A 20837-nucleotide genomic window follows, 5' to 3' on the forward strand; every position below is an offset into this window, starting at 1 on the left:
AAAGGAAGGAGAAAGGAAGGAAGGAAAGAATATTTACCCTTGGCAGTCATCAAAGAAATACAAATTCAAACAAGATTCCACTTTTCACTTTTCAAATGGATGAGATGTTGTTCTTCGTCGGATATTTTTAGACCCCTTATTGTCCCTAAAGTCATGTTCATGGACTGTCATCCCTCACTTTTTCCGTAACAACATTTCATCCCAAATTTCTTAGGTGTCTTGATTTTCTGTCAAATTGAGGCAGGAGAGGAAAGAGACTGGGTCCTGCAGACATGTGACAAAGCAACACAGGTCCTGATGGCCCTCACACATCCGGGCACGTTCCCTCCCCCACTTGCACCCCTTAACAAGTAGACTGAGTCACGGAGCAGGAAGGGGTGGAGGTGCTCCTAAATCTGCTGACCAGGCTGAATTCCTGACCATACAAGGAAGGACCTATCTATCTCTTTGAGTGATGCCTTCTGAGGTCACTGAAACAGGACTCTGGCATTCCCTATAAGGACCTGACCAGGTCCAGCTGCCTGAAGACCAGAGGGACTGCAGCCTGACCCTCACGCCTTTCTCCTCATTTGAATGTCATCGTAATATTAAAATCACTGCCCAGGGTGGGGCTCCTCTGCCATTTTCTGGTCACCCGATGCAAGTTAAAGCATGAAGTCCCACTGCGCAAGCAAAGAAAAGACAAAGGCCTCACCTGAACATGCATGGACGTCACTCTGTTCCCACCTCACCTTCCTGCCGGTGACACGCTGGGGGGCTGGTGTCCAGATCCTTTTCCCGCAGCTGCTCCGTGTGCCCAGCCCCAGCCTGTGAGCCCAGCCTGGGAAGAATCCCCAGCTGGCCTGGTGTCACCATCCACTCACACAAGAGCCAAAGAACTCAAGGTCCGGATGCAGTCACAAAATAAGCTCTTTTCTTAGCTTCTATAAAAAGCCAGGGAGGGAGGGGTTTTCAGTCACTGGGAGGAACAAGAAACCAAATAACCAAAAAGAGGCAGCCGAGCCCTGGAGCTGCCACACATCCAGCAAACATCATCAGACCCTTCGGGATGCCAGGACAGAGGTCAGAACCCAGAACCCCAGGATGCCAAGATCGAGGTTCCTTCCCTCACCGAATTATTTTTAAAGTTGATACAGTGTAACTGAAAACATTAAATTATATGTGACCTGCAGACACCAAAGCCATCCTGAAATGTAGGAATCTCCCAAGCCCTGGGCTGCCCTCACCTGCCGCCTGGCTGTACTGCCCTCCTGGGCTGTGATCATATATGCATGCGAGGATCTCAACAAAGTAATCCTGTCCTCAGCACACGCAAAGCCTTAGTTCACTGCACCCCTCTGGCGTACGGCAGGGCTATGATACCCCTTAAAATTGTCCTTGATGAGATAAAGAATTGAAGGAAAAAATCAGCAAAAACCTTTTTTCTTTCTCTTGCAAATAAAAAGTATGACCAACATAGCAAGAGAAAAGAGTGGGAGAACAGAATCAAAGTAGCTTTAAAAATACATCATCTCCCAGAAGTCAGGAAGAACATGATTAGCATATATGACTATGCAAACATCAAACAAATTAAACTAATGCATGCTTTTAAAATACCATAAACAAATTAAAAATCCACTTAAAAATATTTACAACATAGAAAACATATCAAGACCCAATTTCCTTACTATGCAAATACTACTCACAAATTGACAGAAGAAAAAAACTTAAATCACCTTACATAAAAATAAGTAAAGTTTAAAAACACAGACAAACATTAAAATATGTACACATTTAACATATAATTATAAAGGAACTTTAAATAAAAAGAAGACATAGGTTTTTACCTGCTAGACAAAAAACGAGATAAAGAGCTTGGTAATTTTCAGTGAGGCCAGGAATAAACAAACATCCTTTCACTTGAGTGGAATTGGCTACAGCCTCCGTGCAGGGCATTTTTACAGTAGCAATCAGTGATTCAAAATGCAAGCCCCCCTTATACTAGTGATTCCACTTCCAGAAATGTACTTAATACTTGATCAAGGCTGCAGGTATATGTTGTACAATGTTCCCTGCAGCAATTTCCTGAAGCTGGAAAAACAGTTGGAAGGAAGCTAAGTGTTCACAAATAGATGTCTGTTAAAATTATTATAGAATGTCCTCCCAAACAGCACACGGTCTTTTAAAAGAATGAGGTAGACATATATTTGCTGACATGGAAAATGGTCCAAGTAATATTCCGTGAAGGCAGGGAGCAAATTGCAGAAGTAGAATAGCATTTGAGTAAACATTTCTGGAAGGATGCTCACCAAAAAATGTCCAGAGTGGTGAGCTTGTAGGGACAAGGCAGGGATTCAGAAAGAAATGTTGCTTTTCACTTTGTGCCATTCAGTAACATTTGAAACTTTGTCCATAAGCATACATACATTACTTTTGTAATAAAAAACTAACTTAAAATTTTAAAAAATTAAAACAATAAAACAGATATTGAAAGTATATTAACATACTGATATATTTTAACAGCTCTGAATTTTGAGAAATGTCTTGGCTTGAAAGGTCATTAAGGGTGAAAAGAGACTACTGAATATGATATTTTTAGTAGAATCCCTTGTTAAATGGGATACCCACTACTATTAGTTAGGATATAAAGATAAATATTAATATAATACTTACAGGCACATGCCTGTAATCCCAGAACTTTGGGAGGCTGAGGCAGGTGGATTGCTTGAGGCCAGGAGTTCAAGACCAGCCTGGCCAACATGGTGAAACCTCGTCTCTATCAAAAATACAAAAAAAAAAAATAGCCAGGCATAGTGGCACGTGCCTGTAATCCCAGCTACTCGGGGGGCTGAGGCATGAGAATCACTTGAACCCGGGAGGTGGAGGTTGCAGTGAGCAGAGATTGAGCCGCTACACTCCAGCTTAGGTGACAGAGTAAGACTCCGTCTCAAATGGAAGCCCCCTTTAATAGTCTGCATTATAATATTGACTAATATTTGTAACACTTTGATTCACAACTACACTATTGAAGGCACTACTGAAGGCACTTCACTACTGAAGGAAGATATCTGCCATAGTTACTGGCAATTTATTTTACCCCCTTACCTTAAATTTTACATTATTGTTCCCTCTTAAAAATGATACAGTCATCACAGTTCTTTCATTTTGCCAGATGTGAACCTTTTATCCAAAGGGAGTTTTGAAAATGATGTAGATTTTTCTTCTCTGCAAAGCATATTCAGACTATTTGGGAAGTTGTAGATTTCTCTGGGGTGGACCTAGTTCCTGACTCCTGGAGCTCACAGTCTGTTCCTAAGCTAGCCAGTCCATGGCATGTCACGTCCTAATAAATAAGATTTCAAATGGTGACTGTGATTCTTCATAGGAATATAAGAAGAGCAATCTCTCTCCAGTCGTTTTTTCTTGCATTTCCAGCTTGTAGTCACAGTTCAATCAACCTTCCAATCCACTACTTCCAGACTTAGCTCATCAGTTAATTTCTTTCCTGGGCCTGGCACTTCTTTATTTCTTCTACTCCAATCCCCGAAAAAAGTTGAAAGTGGAATAAAGAAAAAATAGGATAACTATCTCCACCAATGACCCGACTCACCTCTTATAAGAAATCAATTATAAAGTATTTTAGGCAATTAAAAATATAAAGCAGTATTTTAGGTGTGCCCATCAGCAATGACTGGTTTGCAACCTTTTTTTTTTTTTTTTTTTTTGAGACAGAGTCTCGCTCTGTTGCCCAGGCTGGAGTGCAATGGCGCGATCTCGGCTCACGGCAACCTCCGCCCCGTGGGTTCAAGCGATTCTCCTGCTTCAGCCTCCCGAGTAGCTGGGATTACAGACACCCACCACCAGGCCTGACTAATTTTTTTTGTATTTTTAGTAGAGACGAGGTTTCACCATGTTGGTCAGGCCGCTCTCGAACTCCTGACATGGTGATCCGCCCGCCTCGGCCTCCCAAAGTGCTGGGATTACAGGCGTGAGCCACGGTGCCCAGCCCTGGTTTGCAACATTTTATTGAAAGATTGAAGAGCCTGGAGAATACACCATGTGGAGCTCATTAAAACGCCCACCATCTTCTCCTGAGGGAGGAACAAATTCTCTGGAGAGGGGATTCCAAACTAATCCACTTACCCACCTCACTCCTGCTCCCAGGGTGAGAGCCACTCACAGAAGCAGCAGAACATTAGCATAGCATCTACTTTAAAGGTAGAAAATAGCTCATAAAATAATTTTAATTATAGACTTAAGGAGGATTTTTTGTTGTTCTTTTTTTTCTCCAGTGATTTGGAAAAATTAAAATACGTTTTCAATTTGGCAAAGGTAACCTGGAAGTTCTCATCATGCCATGCAAGGTGTAGACACTTTCATATTTGATGTTGAGTTTGCTTGCGAAGATACAGATGAGAAAGAAAGACCTGATAATGTGCTCCATGCCCAAACCGATAGGTTCAATGAAGCTCAGCATCCACGCGCCCTGAGAGCAGTGTGGGTTGTCCTCACGGTGTCCACTGATCTGAAACCCAAGGGCGATGGGGTGGGGATGAAACAGACTCTTCATAATTCCCCACAGCATGAAAAAAAAAATGTTTGTTATGATAGGAAAATTACATGAAATTGGCAGATTTTTCACCACGTTAAAAAAGTACTGATAAAAGCCATGAGCACTTGTGTTATAACTCGGCTGGCAACAGCTGTGTCCAGGCAAGCTCATCTCTTCATGGCAGCACTCTTGGCACCACCAAATTAAGTCTTGTCAAAACCCAGCCACTGCCAGCTTACACTCCTAAGTCTGCAATGGCATCCACAGTGACAAAAGATGTCAATTTTAGATTAAAAAGGTAGCAAAGCATGGGGTTTTACCTTAACAAACAATCATTAATAGCCTATGAGGGGTGGGGTGCTGGAACCACTGCATGCTACAGTGTACCAGTTCATCAGGTGGCCCTCCAGATAACTGCTGGTCCGTTTTGGCGATTTGAGATGTGTTGGTTACAGAAGTCAAGGAAAAGCAGAGTACGTTAGCTATTTGCATGTAAGTGGGAAATAGTGCCTTCCACAGGCAGCAGGCAGAAGGATGTGGCCCCAGGAGTTTTCTGGGGAAACAGGCAGTAACAACTGTATAATATGGAAAGATGACATCAAGCCCAAAACAATAGGGCATATCTCTAGATACATATTCTGCACTTGGCACTGTTTAAAGGGCTTTGCATTCATTTACCCGTTTATTACTCACAATAATCCCATATGGTAGGTAAGATTATCTCCGCTTTACAGATAAGGAGACTGAGGCAGCAGGAGGTGGGATATCCTGCTCTTGGCTACACACAAGCAAGTGGTAAAGTGAGGCTGAATCCAAGCCAGCCGACTCCGGAATCTGTGCCCTTTGCCCTGCACCAGGCTGCATTCTGTGGCTTGTGTTTTCTTAGTGAAAAATCACAGACAGAAGACAGATGTCAAGAAGTTGGCATAGTGGAAAAGAGGGCCCCGTAGATCCAGTGGAACCACGTTCTTCTTTCTCCCTTCTCTCTGCTAAGGCAATGTGCACATAAAGACGAGTGCTCATCATCACCCCACCGAGTTTGGACATGAGGATATCCCAGAAAGGGTGGGAAAGTCTGAGGCTGCCAAATCTGAGGCCAGGAGTGTCATGCATGAGAAGTCCCATAGTTGTGGAGTGTGCCTGGGATGCCCCAGGAGCTGGGCCTTCCAGAGACCTTTGCATGGAGGCGTCCAGGGAAGGCCCAGCTGCTCTGAGAGCTGAGCAGGGAGCTCTCAACTTCAGCAGGCCTCAGAACCACCTGAGGCCTTGGTAAAACCAGGTGTGGGGGCCCTGCCAGAGTTTCTGACTCAGAAGGTCGGGGCTCAGTCCTGAAAACGTGCACTTCCTGCAAGTTCCCACGATGCCGACACTGCTGGTCTGGAACCCGGCTTTGGATTCTGTGTGTCGGGAGCATCTCTGGTGACTTGGCAGCCACTCTCCTTGTTCCCATTTGCCTTGCTCACCCTGGCCCCCACCCCACTCCATCCTCTCCTTCCATCTGATTTGCAACCACTACCCTTTATGGGCTCAGGGTAGATGCCATTTCCTGCAAAGCCTTTTCTGACTCCACAAATCTGGGTGTCTCGTAGAAGGGACTTTCTATGCTGCCTGCTCTCCCCACAGGGCGCGGTCACATGCACAGGCTGTGCCTGCCAGCTTGGCTGAGAGGCCACACATTCTGGGAAGGTGAGACACACTGAGCTATGCATGGCAGTCTCCCCTGACCTTGGCAGCATCTGCCATGCATGATGGGTTCCATAAATATTTGCTGAATCAATGAGCAGATTGATCTATCTTGAGGTCATCCCTTGAGAAGAGGATGTTTGGGGGTTCTGTCTGGAGTTTCTTATCGCTGTGAGTCTGTGGGCTTTCCAGCCTTGCTGCCACTGCTCCTTCCAAGTGCTGACAAACCTACCTCCCTCCCTGTGTTGCCCATTCAGAACTCACGACTCAGCCACACCCCACGCAGTGCAGGTACGCTGACCGTGGAATTTACTGCCTGAGCTAAGGGAGTTGTGAGTATGAAAAGGAGCACTATTAATAATTGATTCAGGGTGAAAAGCTTACATTTGAACTGCGCTATCTCAGGAGACCCAGGACATAGGATCATCAGCCCAAGTGCGGAGCATCCCTGCATGGCTGCCCTCCCGGCTCACAAGCCCTCTGCTGATGGCTTCTTCAGGACAGATGTCCATCCTTGGTCCAGCCCGCAGTCGTCAGGCTGACAGAGCCAGCAGGTGTAAAGCATCCCAGCCCACAACTAGGAGAGGGCATGGCATGGACTCAGAGGACCCTCAGCAGGTGTCAGCACAACTGGCAGGCATCCAGCACGGGCTGCGCCTATGAAACGTGTGCTGAGCTTGCTCACCGAGTAAGACCGCACGGGCCCCATCCAGTTAAACTCCCTGGAGCGTGGGGAGAGGAGGACCACGTCTGGGAAGGCAACATTTCTGAGGGACTCCTCCAGAAGGCGCCACTCCTCTGAAGATGACAGTTTCAGGGTGCCATCTGCAAATGAGCATTGGAGTAGCTGGGGGCTCACCTCACAGGAGAGGGCTGACCACGGCTGGAGGGGCTGAGGGCCTATGGGAGCAGAGCACTGGCTGGCAAGGGGGAGCTGGGGAGAGGAAGAAAATGGGCCTCTCCTCTTTGGCATGTTGTTTACCAGTTCCATGCCCAGAAACAGGGCGAAGAGTCTCTTGGTCTGTTTAGCTCCTCTTCTGCCGCACTGAGTGGCCTCTAACCCCAGGTCCTAGCACTTAGGATTGGGCCATTCAACTGTGCATTAAAAAGCAGCCTGGAGACCAAATCAACTTTTATTACCTTGTTTGTCTGGGAAAATCTGTTCCAAATTCCAAAGAACAGACTTAAACATGAGCTGCGGGACACAACCCATGTGTAAGTTGGAGCTGTCTGGAGAAGAGAGCACTGATCTGACCGCAGTGAAGAACACAATCTGGCATAATCTGTGCCTACAGCAATGGGAATCACTAGTGTTATAAATAAAACAGGAACAAGAATTATTACATGAAAGACTTTAGAGGAAAAAATGTTCCTTTTTGAAAAACAACATCCATCTGTGCAATGGTAAGAGGTACTTAGCGATCATTCAATTAGAAGCAAAATAAAGACTAAAGAGGTAAGGCCAGCATTCCCAAGGAAAGCTAATTATAAAGGCTTTAAGCTGATGAACTTTAGATCAAAGCTCTGAGTCCTCTGATAAGATCGTGTACTCATTAATAGAACACAGTGTCATCAGCTTATTTTTAGCCCAGGAACCGGAATATTCTCAGCATCACATGATCACATTGTGACACAGGTGCCCCAAAATTCGGGCAGGTTTTGTTTTTCTCTCCTTGGGAGCAAAGTGCTAGGTTTGTTTGAGAATAAGAACTCCTCCTATAAATAGCAATTCCTCTTTTTCCCAGATCTGAGACCATAGATAGATAGATAGATAGATAGATAGATAGATAGATAGATAGATAGATAGATAGTTTTTGTTTGTTTGTTTGTTTGTTTGTTTGTTTTTGGAGACAGAGTCTCACTCTGTTGCCCAGGCTGGAGTGCAATGGCACGATTGCAGCCCACTGCAACCTCCGCCTCCCGGTATCAAGCGATTCTCCTGCCTCAGCCTCCCGAGTAGCTGGGATTACAGGCACATGCCACCATGACAAGCTAATTTTGTATTTTTAGTAGAGATGGGGTTTCACCATGTTAGCCAGGCTGGTCTTGAACTCCCGACCTGAGGTGGTCACCCCACCTTGGCCTACCAAAGTGCTGGGATTATAGGCATGAGCCCCCACACCCAGCCGAGACCGTATTTTTATTGTATATACAGAAAGCCATGTAGGATTAAACAGGGCCCTTTTACTTTTATTTATTCATTTTTTTTTATTTTTGTGAAGACAGGGTCTCACTGTGTTGACCAGGCTGGACTTGAACTCCTGTCCTCAAGTGATCCTCACACCTTGACCTCCCAAAGCGCTGGGATTACAGGTGTGAGCCACCACACCCAGCCAAACAAGGCCATTTTAAGTTTAAGAATACATAAAATTCCTTCACTTATCTATTTAAACATAAACTTTAAGAATACAAACTTCACCACACTGTATGTTTAAGAAGCACTTAGGAGTTTTCTTGAGCTGTGGTAGTAAGTTACCACACACTTGGTGCCCTGTTTAAGGACAGTGCTAGAGGTCAGAAGTTCGACGTGGGTCCCACTGGCTAAGACAGAGGTGTCGTCAGGGTTGGCTCTTTCCGGGCTCAATGGCTGAGTGGGTCCCTGGCTTGGCAATTCCGGAAGCAGCCCAGTCCTTGGCTCACAGCCCCTCCCTCCATCTTCAAAGCAGCCCTGGGCCTCTCACATGCTGGGCTTGGGTTTCCCAGCATGAGGTCTCTGCCATGGTAAGGTGTCATGTGATGACAGTGGGCCTCCTGGACCATCCAGAACGACCCCCCACCCCAGCATCCTGGCCATCATCGCACCAGCATGGTGCCTTTGCCATGTGGGTGCACAGATTCAGAATCTCCAAGGATCCAGGTGTGGACATCCTGGAGGGCCATTATCCTGCCCAACCCAACCACTATATGATTTCTGCTTTGTCCTCCTCCCCTACCTGAAAGGTTGGTGCAAATGTAATTGCAGTTTTTACTATTACCTTTTAAAAAAAAAAATGGCAAAAAGTGGCCGGGCGGGGTGGCTCACGCTTGTAATCCCAGCACTTTGGGAGACCAAGGTGGGTGGATCACTTGAGGCCGGGAGTTCGAGACCAGCCTGGCCAACATAGTGAAACCCCATCTCTACTAAAACTACAAAAAATCAGCTGAGCCTGGTGGCAGGCGCCTGTAATCCCAGCTACTCAGGAGGCTGAGGCAGGAGTATCGCTTGAACCTCAGAGGCAAAGGTTGCCGTGAGCTGAGATCGCACCACTGCACTCCAGCCTGGGCAACAATAGCGAAACTCCGTCTCAAAAACAAAACAAAACAAAAAAGGCAAAAACCGTAATTACTTTTGCACCAACCTAATAGCATGTGTTTTCTTTAATTTCAAGGAATTGGTCAACTTGTCTATGATCTTGCATACTGTGGCAGAAGAAAAACACCTAATTCCGCTACTGCTGTATTTTTTACATGAAAGATTAAGAGTAGTTTTATACAGGAAATCTTAGAGTTGATGGGACCCAGGAAAGAATCCAATGGTCCGTTATTACAGAATCCTGAAAGCCTGTGTTCGCGGGCTTCCTACACAGTGGCCCACTCTGGCCTGGCCCTGCCAGCATCCCTTGCACATGCACACTCACCCTCACTGAATTCTCTCTCTTTCATGCTTCCTTTCCTTCTGTCTCTGCCAGTGCCCAACCTGATGCTTTCTAGAAGGCAGTGCTGAGTCCCACCCAGTCTGGCGGCATTTATTTCTCCAGCTGATTCTATCCACCATGATTTTAACAACCCTTCATGGAATAGCAGCACCGAATCCTGATCTTTAACCCAATGCTCTCCCTAGATCTCCACAGAGAACTTGCAAGTGTCTATTAGCCATGTATGCACCCTGAACTCCTTCAGTGCCTAATAGGTCCAAATAGGACTTCTTCTCTAATAGAAAATCCGCCCTAAGTTTTGTATAAAAATGTCATCATACACTCAAACGTAACAAATGCAGAAACCCTGCTGTCAACACGGATCCTTCTCTCTCCTAAAATAAACACTTATAATAGGGTGCCCAATCTACCCATTCTAAGGAATGTCTTTCACATCCTGCCTTTCTTTTCCTTGAAACACCTTAAGACATGAACAAAGTGGACACATGAAGAAATAAAGCACTCTTTGCTTTCCTAGACAGTGTTTAAACACATCATCTGTCCGAGGTACAAGGGTGGAATTCCCTTATGGTTGTTATAATGCAATTGCCTGTCATGCTTATGAAGTTCTACAGAATGAAAGTTTCCAAGATATATCAATGGCAACATGCTATCAAAATGCCATTGCTACTGCTGTGGTGTTTTCCTGTTGACAGGAATAATTATGGCAGCATGTTTTTACATGGTTTTAAATGGGATCTTTGGAAAAATCAGTAGTAAATGAAGTAGTAGAGTATCATGAGTGGTGTTTCCATAAAATTTCTGCCATCAAAACAACTGATGGCTTTTTTTATTTGTAAAAATATCTTTATCCATAAGGCATTTGAAATGGCTCAATAAACGAACTCTCTGCTTATACAAACCAGCATGCATTTTCATACCCATCCAACAATTAAATACCATTGAGCATTGAATATTTTGGTCGCTCACTAAATCATTCCTGCTTTAGATGCTCTCTGTACATGACTTTATACACATCCCGTCCTTTAAGGCTACAATCCCATTAAAATTTCCATGGCTGTTCCTATATCCATCCTTGGCTTGGCAACCCATTTTATGGAAATCAACTTGGATTTGCTACCAACAGGCTTTTATAACCTGATGTAAATTAGCCACAGTTGTCTCTTCAACATTGAAAAAAAAAGTCTCATTAATTAAGATAGATTTTGGCACTTTCTGTGGATAGCTCATATAAGTTGACAGTTGCTCTTTCATCAGACTTTTAGTTATCTTATTACATTCCTTCATTTTAGCATGTTGAGTAATCTGAGACACTGCTAATTTCATCCTGAGGTGTTGTAATAGTTTGTTCTTATCACATTTATTTCATTTTGAATTTGTTTTTATTTTTCCTTCTGAATCCTACTCAGCTGTCTCTATTTCTTATATTTCAGATCATGTTCTACCTCAGATTCCTGTTTATATTGCTCGAGAATATCTGTGTGTTTAAGTTTTTACATATAGCACGTGTAGGTGGAAAACCGGCATGTGTTAAAAATGTTTTTATTTTGCCCTAACACTTTGTTAGATATTGGCATAGCATAGAATTCTAGGTTTGTCTTAGTTCATTTTGGATGCTATAACAAAATCCCGTAAGCCACAGTTCTGGGGACTGGAAGTCCAAGATCAAGGCACTGGTGAGGACTACGCCCTGTTCATACAAGGCCATCTTTCTACAGAGTCCTCACATGATGGAAGCGGGGAGGGAGCTCTCTGGGGCCTCTTCAATCCATTCAGGAGGGTTCCACCCTTAAGACCCAGTCATCTCCCAGAGATTCCACCTCCAAATGTCATCACCTTGGAGATAAGGATTTCAACATAGGAATTTCATGGAGGCACAAATATTCAGACCAATGCAAGGTTGAAGTTCATCTTTCTCAAAACTTGGATTAAAAAGTCCTTGCTTCAGGGACTTCATGCTCTCTGCTGTCTCTGCCAAGAACATTCTGGAGTCTGCAGACTGATCTCCTTCCAGCCTCCTTTCCTCCTGTGAATTTTCATTCAAAGCTAGCTTCTGAGACAGTCCTTGCCTGGACACCTCTCCACACTGCCGCCTCTCTCCCTACTCGATGTATCATTTCTCCTTTACGTGCTTTATTTTTCTCTCTTAAGCCTTTAACACCATCTAACACTCACTGTATTTTACTTGTCCATCTTGTTTGTTGCTGGTCCTCTCACAGTAGAATCTAAGCTTCGTGAAGGCAGGGACCTTTGTCCAGAACTGTGGTTGGCTCGTAGAACACACTGAGGATGTATCTGCTGATTGGTGAAGTCAACTCTGAAGCCACCACCCTGTGGTCTGGCAGCATCGTCTGCCAGATGATGGGGGGTCTGGTGTTTCTGCCTGCCTTGTCCCTTCTTTTTTTTTATTTTTTTAATTTTTATTTATTTATTTTTTGAGACGGAGCCTTGCTCTGTCGCCCAGGCTGGAGCCTTGTCCCTTCTTATATAACCTGGTGCTTGTTTATACTTTATTCACTCTGTAAGTTTTGGGGGTTCTGTCTCCATCTTTGCTCTTCTAAAATACATGTTATGTTTCCAAGAATGGCTCTGTATTCGTAAATGATTCTGCTTAGCCATTAACTCGTTTATCAAAACTTGAATGATCCGCGGCTCAAGGACATGAATTGCCTGTGATTTCTTTGATCTACTCTTAACTTCACTGGTGTTTGTTTGTTTGTTTGAGACATAGTCTCGTTCTGTCGCCCAGGCTGGAGTCAGTGGTGCAATCTTAGCTCACTGCAACCTCTGCCTCCCGGGTTCAAGCAACTCTTCTGCCTCAGCCTCCTGAGTAGCTGGGACTACAGGCATGCACCACCATGCCTGGCTAATTTTTGTATTTTTAGTAGAGATGGGGTTTCACCATGTTGGCCAGGCTGGTCTCGAACTGCTGACCTCATGATCCACCCGCCTCGGCCTCCCAATGTGTTGGGATTACAGGCGTGAGCCACCACGCCCGGCCAACTTCACTCTTATTTCTGAAAGTCTTGAATCTATTTTTCATATCTTTACTGTATCTGTTAATTCCCTTCCATTTATTCTATAAGCTGAATTTTTCTCAACATTATTTTCCAGCTCACGGCTGGTTCATCCATCGCATCCATTCTGTGACTTCTGCGTGCATCCAGAAAGGTTTAATTTTAGCATATTTAATAAGAACTCTTTTTTTGTTCTCAGACAGCTCCTCTTTCAAGGCAACTTATTCATGTTTTATGAAGGAATTATCCTCTCACTGCTCACTAAACACTAATTAGAACATTTTAAATTCGTTTCTGTTCTGCGAATTGCTGCTGCTCTCAATGGTTAGTTGCTTTGCTTCACGGTCTTGATTGTTCTTTTTCATGCTCTTCATTTTTGCAAATATCTGGTGACTCTTGTTTTTCTTAGAGTTTTGAATGAGAAACTCCACTCTTGCTTCTGTGCTTTGGTGGTGGTGTGGATCTGTACCCCCGGTGGGTCTCCACAGCGCCTGAACCTCTGTGAATTCGGGAAGCCACTCGGAGAATGGATAAGAGGAACCTGCCAGAATAACAATGGCCCATACTAGCCATTCTAAGATACAATTCACTCTGGGACATGATCACTCAGTGTATTTCTGTCCTAAAAAGAGCTGCTTTTCTTTCAAAAAATAATCTCTCTCCCCTTTCTTCTGCAGGGAACTGGGGTTACTGGACGTTGCATTCTACTTCTCAGGGTCCTTTCTAGCCATGCGGTTTGCTTTCTTTAGAGAATGGTTCTCAGCCTTTAGCTAAAGGTTTTAAAGAAGGCCTTAAGGAGTAACTGTACTAAGTAAAGTACTTTGAAGCTAATTATTTCTAGTATTTGCATATTTAATTCAGAAAGTGAAACTTCCCTGAGACCCTCCTGGCAAGCTCCGGCGTTGCAGTTCCCTCTGCCCTCCCTTCCCCACCCCTCTAATCCCCCTCTGCCCTCCCTTCCCCAGCCCTCTAATCCCCGTGCCTTCTGTCTTGCAGGAATTCCTCACGATGTCTTGCCTATGAAAATCTCCTGTCTTATTTTCTACTGCATTGTTATGGTTTTATTCCTTCTTAGGAGTATTTTTTTTCTGTCATTCAAACTGGTGATTGACAAGAGAAGGAGAGGGTAGACCAAATTTTTCCATTATTGAACATTAATTGACAGAACAAACAAGCCTGAAAAATAAATGTATAATCTTCATATTCTAGCCATTGAAAGTTCAATAAGGGGCTCTGCAACGTCACAATTTTCCTTAAACTTTTGAAATTCTTTCTGGACATATTTTTCTGAACTTTAGAGCAATGTACAGGATTCGAGAGTCTAAATACATCACTCTCCGCACACAGGAGCAGCAGATGCTCTGTGGTTAATGATTCATGGGGAATTACTCAGCCAGGCCACACAATTACAATTAATAACATCATCTGACTTCTAGGTGAACACTTAGTATTTTGTTGTTTAAAAAAGAAAAACAACAAAGAATTTGTTTTGACTTTATTTCCAAATAACAATATGTACCAAGAAGTAACCATAACAATTAGAGCAGAGATGTGAAAAGACAGGGCAAACGTGCCTCCCACGCCTTGCAAAGCTATTCAGGCCGTGACATTAGCAAGCAGGTCTGGGCCCGAACGTCAGCCAGGCAGAATGGTGTCATCACCAAACAAGGTAGACCCATGTGCTTCTTGAAAAACCAACCCAGAATTTCTATTTCTCAATTTCTATTTCATAATTTCATATTTCTATTTCCCATTCTATCAACAATGCTGTTAAATATTCAGATACTTAACTTGCAAGTCGAGCAAACTTACCTTACATGAATTCCTCTAAAAAGCTGCCACTTCTTTCCCCCCTCACTCTACCCATCAAATTGCTGATCATCGGATTCCTTTCATCCTGAACACGCTAAACTAAAAAAGTGAAGGGTTCAAAGAGACCCAAAGAAGCAAGTGTGTGCAACGTGTGCACGCATGTGTGTCTGCAACAGTTGTTCACCGTCCATCGTCAGTTGGTAGTACAAAAACATTGGAAAGATGATGATTCTGTTAATTAAAAAAAAAATAGTCTCTTTTCTTCAGGTAGCTCAAAGACTTCCATTTCAATTCACACCTCCAGAAAAGTTAGAATCCCAGCAGATGTAAGTAGGATGTTTGGAAACTTCACGCAAATCAACATGAGAGATGCTGATGCCTACAGAGGTCAAATCCTGCATTCTTCTCCTGACATAAAGAAACGCCTACCAGAATGATCACATTATCCACTCCCATCGTTTGCAGGTAAGTTAGCAGAAGTGGAGTCACCTTTTCCTACTTCTGAGGGAGTTTAGTATTTTCTTTTTTATTTTTTCTGAGTATGATCAATGGCTAATGACATTTTTATGCTAATACTTTATAGTTGAATTGTGGCTGTCCTAAAGAATGTTTTCTATTTTAAATTTCCTGTGTAACGGGGGTATAGATCTAATTTTTAGAAATGTCTCCCTTTATATTTTGGTCAAACAAGTAACACAATATTAATTTCAGTGGAAAATAATAATTCAAAATACAGAGATGAGAAGTAAGAAAAAAAGATAACAAAAATTCACAATCCAGCCATTGCCCCTCTCCCTCTTTTCCCCTTTTGCATCCCAGTGTCTGTTATTTCCATCTGTATGTCCACGGGTACCCACTGTTTAGCTCCCACTAGTAAGTGAGAGCATGTGGTATTTGATTTTCTGATTCTGCATTAATCCTATGGGTACTATGTTCACTATTCGGGTGATGAGTTCAAGAAAAGCCCAAACTGCAGCATTACACAATATATCCATGCAACAAACTGGCACAGGTACCCCCTGCATCTAAGATTAAAAATAAAAAGTAAGATTCTATGACCCAGAGATGATCACTGTTAGCATTGTGTGTATGATCCTCAGGACTATGTGTGTGTGAGTGTGTGTATGTGCACACACAAAAAATAGTCGGGCACCTGCACACACTGTGCTCAAGGCCATACTCACAGCGCTGCGTTCAGCGCCTACGAAAGCCCTGAGGGCGGGAAGGACGGCGCAGTGAGGAAGCTGGTCTCGGGCAGGTTTCTATCAGTCAGGACCTGGGGTGTTTCACCAGCTCCAGCGTCCTGGCTGGACTCTCCCTTCTGACATTGCCACTCCCTCTACTCCTGAGGAAAAGCCAGTGCCGTCCTTCCTAGAATCTCCTTCCTCGTTTGGTTCCAGGCAAGAGTCCACCAAGGAGGTGCTGGAGTGAGCTGGAGAGAGAGGCCTTCCCTCCTCATAGGCTGCTGCAGGCAGATGGGTTTTCTGTTTGCAGACCAACTCTGCCTGGATGACGGCCCCCAGGACTGCGTGGGTTAGGGTATCCTTTCCCTTTTGCTGTTTCCTGGGTAATATTTGCTGACAAAACACCCAGGACATCAGAAGCAGGGGCTGGGAGAGACGCGATGGTGGGCAGAGGATGGAAGGGGAAGGAAGGGGGACCAGGCAGGCCTACGGCTTGCTGAGGGATGGGGTGCCCTCCCGCCAGCCACTGAACCAGGTGCCCACACATTCTGTCTCATTCTGTCCTCTCAACACATGTCAGGGAGGAGGAATAATCCTGCTTGGTAAATGGAAAACCCATGAGTACGTCTAATCAGCCAGAGGCCACGAGCTAACACGCATCAGAGCTAGCCATGCATTTGGCCCTCAGGAACCCACTCTTACAGAGAAAGAAAGGTGGGTGTCATTGTCTGGAGGTGAAGACGATGGCCGCAGAATTTCAGGGCTACATGGAGGTGCGTGTAAAAGGGAAAAGCAATGTTTCAGAAGGAATGGAAGGGGAAGAATTCAAGCCTGCAAAGGAGGCACTCATTAATGAGAGAGTGTCCAGAACAACATCTAGCGCCAGTCCCAGAAGAAACCCACAGGAGGTACCTGGTGAGGGAGCCTCTAGCACAAAGATCTTCAGCCTCCGAAGGGTGGGCCAGCCCCTTCTGTGGGTCTTGACCCCAAGTGCTCTGAGAAGGAGAGACTTAAATGTTTGGTGCCTAAACTCAATGTAGCATCTGAAGGAGCCATATTAGCATAAGGTGTTCTAGAAGATATGGCTAAGCCTAATGCTGGGTTAAGGTTTACCTTTTCCTAAATGTATCCCCCTTGAATTTGAATATCGATGTGTCTGAATTTTTTCTCTTCATTTTTGTAGTTCTGTAATAATTTGAGTCTTTTTCCTGAAAATTAGCTTCTGAGCCTGTTTTCATCCTCACCAATGTCCAGGCGTTTGCTGTCTCCTAGCTAGGTAATATTTCTGCGATTCCTCTCCCAAGACCATAAAGCCACAAATGGGAAACTTCTGCTAATAAATGAATCCGTCTTCCAAAGGATGGAGCAGGTCCCAAGAGGAGCTTGATCACTATAGCTGTGAAAAGGGAACCCGATTTTTTCAGGTGTCAATTGCCAGTATCCCAAAAGACACAAGACGGGGTGACACGCTGTTGCATGTTCTGTTGACCTCTTGTGCCGGGTGTCTGTGTCGGCGAAGGGTCTGTCTGCCCATTTGCCCAAGTGCCTCTTCCTCTGAGAGCCTTGCCATACTTTTTTCTGCTTTCCTATCTCTTTATTATACTCCTCGTTTTCTTTCTATCTGGTCATACTGCAGAACTGAGGTATAGTTGTATTAATTTTAGCTCGGTCTTTGTTTCCTAGTCTTAATTTAAATTGATGATGACTAGAACACTTAATTTGCTTTTCTATAAAGTAAACAAAAGGAAGTCGCTTTTCATTAAACAGCACTAATTGGCTTTCCCTGCAGTAGAAAAGAAGCTTTCCTGCCGCTGGCATGTGGCCTGTGATGAAGACTACTAGGCCCATTGTCGTTTGTGCCTATGCACAGCCTGAGTCCAAGGCACCCTTCCAAGGAGAGCCTCCTGGTGGACGACAAGACCTTGGGCCTTCTAGCAAATGAAAGAATGGCTGCCATTGTCCAGGTGATGCACGGGGCACTGCTGACCTGGGTTTCTCATAAGGAGAACTCTGGTCTCTGATATTGTGAGCCGGTAAAAAAGATTTCAGTGTTCTGTGTGCAAAAATGGTTATCACTTCTGTTGGTGTTAAAATAAATAAATAAATAAATAAAATAAAATAGATGCAAAGGTGTTTACTGGCAATGCCAAAAGATTATGTCAATAAATTTCCTTGTGTTTATACATCTTCCAAGAATCTCATTACTAATAGATTCATAGACAAAAATTCACACAGCATCCACCTTCTGACTGACAGCTGCTGAGGTATTCATCTTTGATTAACAATTCAAGACAAAGTTTTCAAATAACACTTCAGAGGTGACTCTGAAAAACAGTTGTTGGTACACTGTAAAGCAAGGGGGGAGGGGAAAATGTGACTTCACTTTAGCTTTTAACTTAGCATAAATTACACAACCCTCACACTGTGGTAGTGGGTAGTGGGATAGAGGGTGCTTCAATGCCTTAAGATAAGCATGGAACAGCTCTCTGGAACATCTGTTTTTTACTTAAAAATATTGAGGGAAAACTTAAGTTTCTATTTTTAAAGCCTGGCTATATTATGGCATAGGACATAGCATCAGCATTATAAGATAAAACCTAGAGTTCAAGTAAATTCTCTCTTTATTGCAGAGAACTTCAGACAGAAACATACCCACGCACCCTCCCCCATGCCTAGATGTGTGTGTATATACCGTTAACACAGCCCATAAACACACAGCACTGCCCTAATCCTCACAAGCATCTCAAATGCTTCTTCTGTGGGTTTCTTTTCTTTTCTTTTCTTTTTTAGTGTTAAGATAACTTTTATTATTACTATTATCATTATTATTATAATACTTTAAGTTCTGGGATACAAGTGCAGAAAGTGCCAGTTTGTTACACAGCTATACACATGCTATGGTGGTTTGCTGCACCCATCAACCCATCCTCTACATTAGATATTTCTCCTAATGCTATCCCTCCTCAGCCCCCCAACACTCACCAGGCCCTGGTGCATGATATTCCCCTCCCTGTGTCCCTGTGTTCTCATTGTTTAACTCCCACTTATGAGTAAGAACATATGGTGTTTGGTTTTCTGTTCCTGTGTTAGTTTGCTGAGAATGATGGTTTCCAGCTTCACCCGTGTCCTTGCAAAGCACATGAACTCATCCTTTTTATGGCTGCATAGTATCCCATGGTGTATATGTGCCACATTTTCTTTATCCAGTCTATCATTGATGGGCATTTGGGTTGGTTCCAAGTCTTTGCTATTGTGAAAAGTGCTGCAATAAACATACATGTGCATGTGTCTTTATAGTATAATGCTTTATAATCCTTTGGGTGTATACCCAGTAATGGGATTGCTGGGTCAAATGGTATTTCTGGTTCTACATCCTTGAGGAATCGCCACACTGTCTTCCACAATGGTTGAACCAATTTACACTCTGACCAACAGTATAAAAGCATTCCTATTTCTCTACATCCTCTCCAGCATCTGTTGTTTCCTGACTTTTTAATGATCGCCATTCTAACTGGCATGAGATAGTATCTCATCATGGTTTTCGATTTGCCTTTCTCTAATGACCAGTGACATTGAGCTTTTTTTCATATGTTCATTGGCTGCATAAGTGTCTTCTTTTGAGAAGTGTCTGTTCATACCCTTTCCTCACTTTTTGATGGGGTTGTTTTTTTCTTGTAAATTTGTTTAAGTTCCTTGTAGATTCTGGATATTAGCCCTTTGTCAGATGGATAGATTGCAAAATTTTTCTCCCATTCTGTAGGTTGCCTGTTCACTCTGATGATAGTTTCTTTTGCTGTGCAGAAGCTCTTTAGTTTAATTAGATCCCATTTGTCAATTTTGGCTTTTACTGCCATTGCTTTTAGTGTTTTAGTCATGAAGTCTTTGCCCATGCCTATGTCCTGAGTGGTATTGCCTATGTTTTCTTCTAGGGCTTTTAGGGTTTTTAGGTCTTACGTTTAAGTCTTTAATCCATCTTGAGTTAATTTTTGTATAAGGTATAAGGAAGGGGGTCCAGTTTCAGTTTTCTGCATATGGCTAGCCAGTTTTCCCAATATAATTTATTAAATAGGGAATCCTTTCCCCATTGCTTGTTTTTGTCAGGTTTGTCAAAGATCAGATGGTTGCAGATGTGTGGCATTATTTCTGAGGCCTCTGTTCCATTCCATTGGTCTATACATCTGTTTTAGTACCAGTACCATACTGTTTTGGTTACTGTAGCCTTGCAGTATAGTTTGAAGTCAGGTAATGTGATGCCTCCAGCTTTGTTCTTTTTGCTAAGGATTGTCTTGGCTGTATGGGCTCTTTGTTGGTTCCATATGAAATTTAAAGTAGTTTTTTCTAATTCTATGAAGAAAGTCAATGGTACCTTGATGGAGATAGCATTGAATCTATAAATTACTTTGGGCAGTATGTCCATTTTCACAATATTGATTCTTCCTATCCATGAGCATGGAATGTTTTCCCATTTGTTTGTGTCCTCTCTTATTTCCTTGAGCAGTGGTTTGTAGTTCTCCTTGAAGAGGTCCTTCACATCCCTTGTAAGTTGTATTCCTAGGTGTTTTATTCTCTTTGTAGCAATTGTGAATGGGAGCTCACTCATGATTTGGCTGTCTATTATTGGTGTATAGGAATGCTTGTGATTTTTGCACAATGATTTTGCATCTGAGACTTTGATGAAGTTGCTTATCATCTTAAGGAGATTTGGGGCTGAGACAATAAGGTTTTCTAAATACACAATCATGTCATCTGCAAACAGAGACAATTTGACTTCCTATTTGAATACCCTTTATTTCTTTCTCTTCCTTGATTGCCCTGGCCAGAACTTCCAATACTATGTTGAATAGGAGTGGTGAGAGAGGGCAACCTTGCGTTATGCCTGTTTTCAAAGGGAATGCTTCCAGCTTTTGCCCACTCAGTATGATATTGGCTATGAGTTTGTCATAAATAATTCTTATTATTTTAAGATACATTACAT

At 43.4% G+C, this 20837-nt stretch overlaps 1 long non-coding RNA gene across 8 annotated transcripts in view, besides 1 other annotated feature; it reads right to left on the reverse strand.

Moving 5' to 3' along the window:
• LINC03082 (long intergenic non-protein coding RNA 3082) overlaps nt 1-20837 on the reverse strand; it is a 145761-nt gene that overhangs the window by 73056 nt on the left and 51868 nt on the right. For 6 of the 8 annotated variants that reach the window (NR_187459.1, NR_187460.1, NR_187448.1 and 3 more), the window contains exon 1: nt 695-879. The exons of the other annotated variants lie outside the window; for them this stretch is intronic. This is a non-coding gene — a long non-coding RNA (long intergenic non-protein coding RNA 3082). Of the gene's footprint in view, nt 1-694; nt 880-20837 lie in introns of those variants that run through there. 8 annotated transcript variants of the gene reach the window in all.
• Nucleotides 8915-9414: an enhancer, noted in NCBI's record as "H3K4me1 hESC enhancer chr13:110717693-110718192 (GRCh37/hg19 assembly coordinates)". NCBI's record gives its function as "activates a minimal SCP1, AML or CMV promoter by ChIP-STARR-seq in naive H9 embryonic stem cells {active_cell/tissue: H9 hESC(naive)}" and the evidence as "EXISTENCE:reporter gene assay evidence [ECO:0000049][PMID:30033119]".

Source organism: Homo sapiens, chromosome 13, assembly GCF_000001405.40.
Source record: "Homo sapiens chromosome 13, GRCh38.p14 Primary Assembly".
NCBI lineage: Eukaryota > Metazoa > Chordata > Mammalia > Primates > Hominidae > Homo > Homo sapiens.